The 10,579-nt window shown below is 33.7% G+C and overlaps 1 long non-coding RNA gene across 1 annotated transcript in view; it reads right to left on the bottom strand.

Moving 5' to 3' along the window:
* Nucleotides 1–9,696, bottom strand: part of LOC105369839 (uncharacterized) — a 34,784-nt gene extending 25,088 nt beyond the window's left edge. The window contains exon 1 of the long non-coding RNA XR_001749105.1: nucleotides 9,558–9,696. This is a non-coding gene — a long non-coding RNA (uncharacterized LOC105369839). The remainder of the gene's footprint in view (nucleotides 1–9,557) is intronic.
* Between the last annotated feature and the right edge of the window lie 883 nt (nucleotides 9,697–10,579).

Below are 10,579 nucleotides of genomic sequence, written 5' to 3' on the forward strand. Positions count from 1 at the left end.
AAGAAAAATTGCCATAGAATGGGGTAGCAAGAAATCAGTTAAAATTTTTAACTTCTTTTAGTTGAGTGGGGCCTGGTTCAAGCATTGAAATCCCAAGGACCTCTAGCCACAGAGCAAGATTGCATTAACTGCTATTTAATATATTCAGGACTCCACCAAGTACTTGGAAATAACATGCTGAATGAGGGGACATGGGGAGAGGGGACAAGTTAAGAGAAATGAGAGAAAGTCACTCTAAGGAATTCTGGGAACTCATCAAATGCAAGACAGTCGGTGGCATGGTAGTAATGCTGAGACATGACATTGAAAGCCAGTTTTTTCCTCTGTAGAATTTTCTTTATTGTTGTTATTTTATTTTAAAGTATGTGTGTGAATTACATTGATAAAGATAACCATTCATTTAGAAAAAGTTGTCTAGCACTGTCCTGAACTTGAATATGTGCTATGACTTTCTGCAATGCAGGTTAACACAAGATAGGCCATTCTAACTTCCATCTGAAGTTGGTATACAAAAAAGTATTATTTCAGTATGTTGAATTTTAGATATAATTAGATTTCATTAGGTCAGATTTTTTTTTCTAATTGAGTTTCCTTTTTACATTTTGAAAATTATATACCAATTTATAAGGAATGTTAAGAAACAGCTTTGTTGGGGGCTGGCTAAAACACCTATTTCTTTTCATTCCACTCACAATATACAAAAGCTCTAAATTTTAATTTGATTATACAATCATTATCAATTTTGTCATTCCCAAGTCTGTTTAACATGAAATGTTGAACATTGTTAAAAGAAAAACTTTGGACAAATTTAATTTAACATAGTTTAATTGAGTAAAAAGAGAAAGTGAAATTTGGACAGCCCCTAGAACCAGAATAGATTCAGAGTGATTCTAGGGTTACCACATGGTCAAATAACATTTATGGACAAAAAAATGAAAGTGATGTACAGAAAATGGAAATGAGGTATAGAAACATCTGGATTGGTTAGTGCTGGGCTTTTGCCTTCTTTGAACATGGTTTGAACAGTCGGCTGCCTGTGATTGGCCAAAATTCAGCCGCTGTGATTGGCTGAGACTTGGCTACTTGTTACAAGAGTACATTACAGTCTGTTTACATACAGTGAGGTCACTGTTCACTATGTGTGGAGAAATCTTTAGGTCAAACTTAAAGTATGTAAGGAGGCAGTTTTAGGTTAAACATAATTTAACAACACATACAGCTTTGGCATATGAATATCATTGAATCTCCACAATATCTGTTATGAGATACGTATTACCTCTATTTTCTAGTTGAGTAAACTTAATCTCATGGTTAAATAACTAGCTCAATATCACATAGAAGTCCTAGTTTCTCTGACAGCAAAGCCTATAGCCTTTCAGTTACATTGTGCCTCTGCTTTTCCTGCTCTGAAGTAACTTATTTCAACCAAGTCTGTTGGGTTTATTTTTTGTCATATTAAATGAGCTTGCTTACCAAGGTAATGTAATACTTGTATCAAAAATCAAGAAGAATTTGTAGCAAAAATGGACTGTGCATGCCAGCCAGAGAGAGGCACTTACTACATATGTCTGTAGATGCATTGCTTAAAGTGAAAATATACCTTATTCTGACATCAGTGTGCATAATAATGATAGGTCTAAAAATGAGAGTTGTCAGAGCTCTCCTGGACTGACAGAGAATTAATTCATTTTACATACTGAAATAACAGATGCTCATTTCTCTTAATGATGACATTTGAGAATTCATTAAACAAGTCCATATTGATTGACAAACAGTGTTGACTACTGAACACAGTACTTTGTGCTACCCTTTCATTTGTTCCCCATTCTCATATCCTTGCCACTGTGAAAGTCTATTTCAATATGTCTGTATTTTGAAGAGGAAAAATATTTTTTATGACATATATTATTTTTCTATTTTAAAAACAACTTAGGACAGAAACACTATCAATATTGTCAATATTTTGTTTTTTTTTCCCCTTTTGATCATAGGTTCAGCATTTAGACCATATGAGAGTCAAGTGATGAATTGGCTGTGGCATTGCTGGTCCACAAATGTCAGTAAGGATGTGTTGGGGGATACATTTAGCCATGATAACTGATAATACTTCAAGAGTAGGGAAAAAATAGATCAACTTAACTATAACTCTAATAGGCAAAACCTCAGTTCTTTCAACATTGGGATAAGACTCATTAATTTTAATAAAATCTCTTTTGTTCGTCTCATGAAATGCTTCTAGTTTCTGTCATATTTTGAATCCTGTCAGATTTGTCATCTCAGGTTTCTTACCTCTGATAATTCATAAACGTACATTTCTTCTACTAGTATCTTTGTTTCATCATTAATGAATAACATCAAATCTGAGAAACATGCATTTACTATGTGATCAAACATTTATTTGAAAACCTCTTCTTTTAAAGTCAAAGGTGGAATATTTTTCCACATCCTAGTCCTCAGGAGGCTCTGTCCTGTCTCTAGTATGCTGACAAGGTAACATTCTGCCAAGCAAACTTAATTTCCTTTCTTCCAAAGTAACTATAAGTGTTTGTATTATTCTTTTCACATTTTCATATCGAGTCACTCCAGAGAAAAGGGATAATGGGTTAAGGCTATTGCTCAATATTATGCCTTATTGTAAAATTTTTTTGCTATAATTTTTATAACCTTGAAATTATTGTAATATAACTGCATTTAGAGTAGCACAATGGTCGTAATTCATACTGCCTACGTTCAAATCTTAGCTTTGCCATTTAGAGCTATGTGTCTTTGGGCAATTTAATGAATTCTTCTGTGTCTCACTTTCCTCATGCATAATACAGATATTAATTGTATTTATCTCTGTTGTGGGGATGAAATGTGTTAGTAGATATATAGAGGTACAGGGCTTAGAAAATTCTCTGGCACATATTTGGAGTTCAAAAAATGGTAGTTATGTTTATTATTGTTGCTGTTGCTGCTGCTGCTCTTGTAACTATTCGGGTGCTCAGTATCCATGTGCCCTATATTAATAAGAGGAAGTTCTTAAAACTGCAGAAAACCATTTGAGTCATCTAGAAAAATATCGATCTTATTGTAGAGATGAAGCACATCTTTGCAGATAAGTTCTTTTTTCACTGCAGTATACATTTGACAGTTGTAATATAATTCTTTTCTTCTCCCTACATTTTTCTTTATGCAACATAAATATGCACAAAGAAGTATTAAAGCCTCTTAAGTGTATACAATTTTAATATGTGCATCTCAGCAATTCCAGGTATATTTGGGGAAAATCATAAAGTTATATTTTGGCAAATGTTATGATCCTTAGCTCAGTGAGGGCTTGAGGGTCTTGCAGAAGGAAGATTTTCATCTAGTGATAGAGTATCATTTTTTTTTCTTAACAAGATTGGAAAATATGTATATTATGTATATATATATATATACACACACACACACACATTTCATATCAATGTCTATAATTCTCATTGTTTTCTAGTTTCAAATTTTTATGATATTTAGTCACACCAAAAATCCTTGGATAGAATTTAAGTGACTTTCTTCAGAGTATTCAGTTGCAATGCCAGAAAAGGAGATGTAGTGTTTAATATAGTTAATTGGGGGGAGAGTGAGACCAATTGGTAGACATTTCAATATTGTTTCTCTGAGAGTAGAATAGGTTATAAAGGGACATAATCTAAGTATCTGCGTTTTTCAAATATTTGCTAGAGGTGTGCAGAGTAAGTAAAGGATAGAATCATAAAACTTCTAAGTTTTCTCTCCCTTTTTATATTGAAATGTCCTCATTTCATCCAAATATTTAGAGACTTACTTGAATATATTTTGTTTTCCTTTCCATAGAAACATTTTGTGATAACATTTACAATAACAAGATAATCTTGGTGTTACTTAATCATTGCTGAAAAGCACTGGGCTATGAAGATTTAGCTAAAAGAAAGGAAATTCAAGTTCTTATTTTTAAAATCCCCAAGTCAAGAACACCTCCTTTTTTTTTTTTTTTTTTTTTTTTTTTTTTTTTTTTTTTTGTAAGGAACAACTTTGAGAATCTAGCTGGCTGTTAAGTTATTCCTAAAAATGACCCAGATATACTCTTTTTGTCTTGCTGTTTCGAACTTTCAAAAAGGTACTATCTTCTGGGCTCAGAGTTTCATTATCACACAGTAGTAAGAGAAAATATCAGCAGACTCAGGATACAAGACAAAGAGAAGAAGAGTTTGCTAGTTTTATATCATATAAATATTTAGTATTTTTTAAAATATGTAACTGCTGTAATTCCTATTATAATAGACATTCCACCACTTTTGAAATTGTTAGATTAGATGGTGTTTTCGTTTGCATTCTCCAGAAGCAGACCTTGAAATGAAGATTGGAGGGAGAATAGCTTATTTGGGAGATCCAAGAAACACTTGTAGGAAAGTGGTGAGGCAAAGAAGGGAAGGAAACAGAAGTTAGCAGCTTTTATGGGTGACTGGAGTTCAAATCTTTTAGAAAACTCTGGGAAATTATATAACATACAAGTCTCAGAGTTATTTCACAAAAGAGACAAATAAACTGGGGTCTTTAACCTCTAACTCCTGTTAGTCATTGATTGAGGGCTGCTTCTGGAGGAATGAGGGAGTGTTGTTAATTTTCTGGTATTTTTGGCTTGATAGGCACTTGCCACAATGGTTTTCCTCCCCTCCTAAGTCTTCTAGTCAAAGGATTCAGATACCATTAGTTGCAAGTCGGACAACAGTCATTCAAGTGGTAAGGTTAAAGAGATGTAAGTAGGGTACTAACTCCATTTGTTACAAATGATCTACGCTGTTTTTCAAATTAAAGCTACCGAGTGTTCTTCTTAGGTGCTTGCAATCACACTTTTTCATTAAGTACCTCATTGCATAGGGATTGCTTATTTACGTGTATACTTTATTTTTGTTTACTTATGAAACTCCAGTGTATTTCCCAGTAGTTGCAGTAGTTGCTTAATAAACATTTCTTAAATAAATGAAAAAAGAATGTCCTCAGAATCAAGTATGTCATTTTACAATCTTCCATTATTAATTTTTTTCTAACAGTGGTAGTCTGTACCATTTCAATACATCTTATTTACTGGTAAGCTTTTTTTTTTTTTTTTTTTTTTTTTGAAACGGAGTCTCGCTCTGTTGCCCAGGCTGGAGTGCAGCGGCGCGATCTCCGCTCACTGCAAGCTCCTCCTCCCTGGTTCACGCCATTCTCCTGCCTCAGCCTCCCGAGTAGCTGGGACTACGGGCGCCCGCCATTGCGGCCGTCTAAGTGATTTTTTTTTTTTTTTTTTTTTTGTATTTTTAGTAGAGACGGGGTTTCACCTTTTTAGCCAGGATGGTCTGGATCTCCTGACCTCGTGATCCGCCCGCCTCGGCCTCCCAAAATGCTGGGATTACGGGCGTGAGCCACTGCGCCCGGCCATTTACTGGTAAGCTTTTTATAGTACTTTTAAACACACTTTATAACCTTCTGTACCCAGGAGTACTTTTTCAGTCACTCTACTGTCCCACCTCATTTCCGTTTAATTAGAAGTTAGATGTTCTCACTCATAAGTGGGAGTTGAACAATGAAAACACATGGACACAGGGAGGGGAACATCACACACCAGGGCCTATTGAGGGGTGGGGGTCTTGGAAGGGGAGGGAGAGCATTAGGACAAATACCTAATGCATGCAGGGCTTAAAACCTAGGTGACTGGTGAATAGGTGCAGCAAACCACCATGGCATATGTACACCTATGTAAAAAACCTGCACGTTCTGCACATGTATCCCAGAATTTAAAGTAAAATAAAAAAAAGAAGTTGGAGTGAAGGAAATAAAATGCCATCCCATGCCTTGACATACCCAGATATAGAGGATGAGTATATGAAAGACCAAAAGTGAGATGATCCAATCACATAAATAAGTATGAATTCCCAGGTAAGTGTATTTTACAGAGATGCAATGCAATTCAAGAGGTTGGCTCCACAGAGAAAAGAGAACAATAGATTGTCAGTAGGATTTTCAGTGAACAAGAGTTCCTGCCAGTTTGAGAGTGATCTAGGATATAATTACAGAAGTGCTGGCCAGATAGACAAGTTTACAAGGAAGATTAAGAGACTCTTTCATCAACTTAATGCTTCTTGTCAGTGCTTACATTTTCACACATATAATAAAATATTTTAAACATACTTGAATTTTGAATGATATTTTCAGTAGTTTGATTTCTTTGGTTCTTCTTATTCTTAAAGTTTATGCTCTCTGTTTTTGCTATGGCTTTCATTTTAAAATATAACTTATTATTATACCAATCTAACATCTGCCATCAAAATACACAGTGCTGAAGATTTTAACTTACTTCTGAATCAGAGTGCATTCTAAAACATTCAAAAGTGCTCATTTTGCTTATAGCAAATACATTTAAACTCATAGAGAAGTCGGTGTGTGTGTGCGCTTGTGTGCATGAACAAAAATCTACTTACCTAGCTATCTACCTGTCTATCTATGTATTTATACAGAGATGAAGAAGATGAAAAAGTATTTGAGAAGAGTTGCTTTAGTCCTGGCTAAGAAGTGATGATCTATTTATAGCTTTGTCTTTTTCCATGTTCTGTAAGGTAAGCCATGTCTCTCATCCATAATACTTAAAATTTGCAAAGTTTGCAAATAGATGAGAGGGATATACTGTTTGTTAAATACATGTGCAAAGATTTTATGACTTTAGGATGGTAGATCTTTGAGGTTGAGGTGCTGTGTAAAGAAGGAAAACTAAAAATTATTATTTCAAATAATTTCCAGAGCCTGTAAGTCATTTCAAATTTTAGATTTAGCAAGCAAGAGTAAACTGGGATTAATAATGGCTAACACTTTCTGTCATCATTATTTAATAGGTGCTGTCCTAAGCATTCTGCATAAATTTTCTCACTAAATCATAACAGTAACCCTAGTAATAGACACTATTATACTTCACATCTTGAGCGTAGTGTTAAAAACTTAAGTAAATTGGACCTTTATCTTATACCATACACAAACATCAATTCACAATGGATTAATGACTTAATGATAAAACCTGAAATCATATAACCCCTAAAAGAAAATATGTTACAATCTTCATAAAATTGGTCATCAACTTCATAAAACTGCCAATTCATAAAATTGGCAGTAATTTCATGGATATGACACAAAAAGCACAGGCAACAAATGCAAAAAAGGAAAAATGAGACTACATCAAACTAAAAAGCTTCTACACATCAAAAGAAACAATCAATAGAATGAAAGGCAACCTATGAAATGGGAGATAATATTTGTAAACCATGTATCTGATAAGCAGCTAATTTCCAAAATATGTAAGGGACTTGCACAACTCAATAGCAAAAATAAAACGAAAAAAAAATTGATTTTTAAAAGGGTAAAGGACTTGGATAGACATTTCTCCAAATAAGACATACGAATGGCCTACAGGTATAAGAAAAGTTGTTCAACATCACTAATCTTCAGGCAAATGCAAATTATAACCACAATGAGATATCACATAACATCTGTTAGAATAACTATTATCCAAAAAAATCAAAGCAAAACACAAAGATAACAAGTGTTGATAAAATTGTGGAGAAATTGGAACACTTGTACACTGTTGGTGGAAATGTTAAATGGTTTAGCTGTTACAGAAACCAGTATAGAAGCTCCTGGAAAACTTAAAAATAGAACTACCATATGATCTATCATTTCCAATTCTGGGTATATATATATATGAATGAAGTTAGGATTTTAAAGAGTTTGTGCACTCTCCTGTTCATTGAAGCATTATTCACAGTAACCAAGAGACACAGAAACAACTTACACATTCTTTGAAAGAATGTGTTACATTATTAGTTGAATTATCTCTCTTTATTTCATATGAGTTTAGCCACTTGAATTCAGGCATATTTCATTATTTTTTTTCTTCTCTATGAGAGTATGTTTCAACATGAAAGTGATAATAAAAAACTGCTCAGTTTATATACTAGCACTTTAAATTTGAGCAAAATGGTTCTTTGAGACACATAATAGAACAAAAAATGTAATTTGTTAGATATTAAAAAGAATTTACTCTGTTCAAGGGGCAAATTTATAATACAATTTGGAAAAATTAGTCAAATCTTCAAGTATGTGGCATATACATTCACAGAAAGAAGAGACAGAGTTTCAAACTAGGGGCTCCTCTTATTAGGTTAATTAGAGAGTTCAGCTCAAACAGAAAGATACATGTGGGAAAAGGGGACATTGTGACAAGTACCAGATTTATAATCACATAAATGCCTTTGCTACTTAAAAAACTTACTTCCTTGGACCCAGACTGACTATATTTGGAAAAGTGATTAATTCTATTATATTTCTATCTTTTTAGTTGCCTCGGCTCCTCTCTTTGCACCTTGATAACTGTGGGCTGCAAATACAGGAGTCAAAGTATGCAAGTATAGCAGGCCAATGAGTAAATTCAGGACATGCTTACTTCAACAATTTTGCTTTCGCATGACGTGCATTTTGCAATACATGTAATTTGCAAGGTTGAAATCTTGCAAAACTAAAAGCCAAATCTCAATGTAAATTCCTTTTCCCTTGTGTAAATATTTATTACTGTCCTAAAACAAAGATTCACCATTCAAAATGTCACTGAGCCAACTGCAGATTTACAGAAGATCCTAAACTTGACTAAGGAGAACTAAATTAAAATCAATTTATATAATTTTTGATAACTATTCTAGAGCCTTCCCCAGTGCTGTAGCTTATTAACAGGTGTTACATTACCCTAGCCAGCTGTCAGTAACTGCTATCACCACTGCACATATAAAATGTACACAGAAATACAGCAAATATATTTCCCTAATATCATTCACCTCTGAGGTTAGATAATGTCAAGTTTGCTTATCTATCCTCTCCATTCTGATTCATTATTCAAAGGGAAGATATTCAAGATTCACATTTTTTAAAAGTTGATTTTTCCAATCATTGTCATTGTTGATAAAAACTGACAAAATGCACTTTAAAATAGTTAGAAATATGTTCATTGCTATGCAAACACAAACTCTTAATGAATTTTTCTGCAAGTTAAATTATGGGAGAAAGTACCATGAAATTACATTTATTTTCAGTGTGACTTTCCCTTTCTAGTTATACACTTTTTTTTATCCCTGTGTTCTTTACAAGAACATAAGTCAACTCTACTCACTTTTCTCTTTTGTGAATTCTCTATACAGAATATCTTTTGGATAGATATACTAAGAAATAATTAAACTTAGAATTCTGATAAATTATTTGCCCCTCTAGCAAGTTAAAGTGTAAAGAACCACTTAAGATCTTAAACTTTTAGAGTTTATTTATTTCAAATTAACTCACATATTGTCAAAGCTGCTGATTTTCCTCAAGCTATTTTCATTTCCCGTCAATCTCCCATGAGGTGTTTCTCAAGTTCCCTTTCAGCTGGCACATGTCTATTTTCCAAATTCCTTGCTTGACAGTTAAAGCAAATGTTATGTTTTTTTCTACTCTACTGATCAAATTTCTCCCAAACATATTTTTAAATTTATGTCTCCCACCTGAATAGACTTGAAAGCGATATTCCTGGAAGTGGTGACTTCATATCAAAGTCAATTTCTTTATACGAATCCTGGCTCATGAGAATCAAGTCCTGTGTGACTGGGCACTCACTCAGCACAGAGGTTCAGCAATGATACCTGAACAGAATACATTCTAGGTGAGAGTGTTCTTAACAAATAATCTAGTCTACTTCCAAGGTCAAGTCTTTTTCAGAGTCAGACCTTTCCTCTGAAGGGCTTTATTATATCAGACAGTTTCCAACGGGAATAAAACTAGTCTTTTAAAATTGTTGAGCTTTATCTCATTCTCCTCCATCTGACAATCAGATATTAGAGATTTATGTAATCATGTGTCCAAAAGGGATTTAATGCTACTTTTTTCCTTTTTTCTTTTCCCCCACAGGTGCTTGAAAAATAAGTAGTTTTTCAAATGACAACTCATGTCTTTCTAGGTTAAAAAAAAGAAAATAATAATGTATTCATATCTTTCCCCATACAGTGGAGCTTCAGGTTTTGAGATACAGTGTTTGAAATGAGAGAAAGTTTTTTAATCCCCTTCTTCCATTTTAGTCAGATAAAAAATGCCAACTTATATTAAATGATGAATTTGATTTGTTCTCTAGGCTTAACTGCATGGATTTAACTTTAAAATTTTCTCAACAAAATAACAAGGAAGAATTTAATAATCTCTTATTTTATTTTATTTCATTTTTTTTGAGAAGGCATCTCCTCTGATGCCCAGGCTGGAGTGCAGTGGCCCGATCTCGGCTCACTGCAACTTCCACCTCCCAGGTTCAAGCAATTCCCCTGTCTCAGCCTCCTGAGTAGCTGGGATTACAGGCGCATGCCACCATGCCCAGCTAATTTTAATAATTTCTTATACACTGACAATTTTAAAAAATGTTTTACTTCTATTTTTTTAAAAAAAATGTTAGGTAAATATTATTAAGCCCATATTTCTTGATATTGAGAACTGGATATTTAAATAAGTTGTTGAGGTCTCAAAATGTAAACACAAAAAA

The sequence above is a fragment of the Homo sapiens genome, chromosome 12 (genome assembly GCF_000001405.40).
Source record: "Homo sapiens chromosome 12, GRCh38.p14 Primary Assembly".
NCBI lineage: Eukaryota > Metazoa > Chordata > Mammalia > Primates > Hominidae > Homo > Homo sapiens.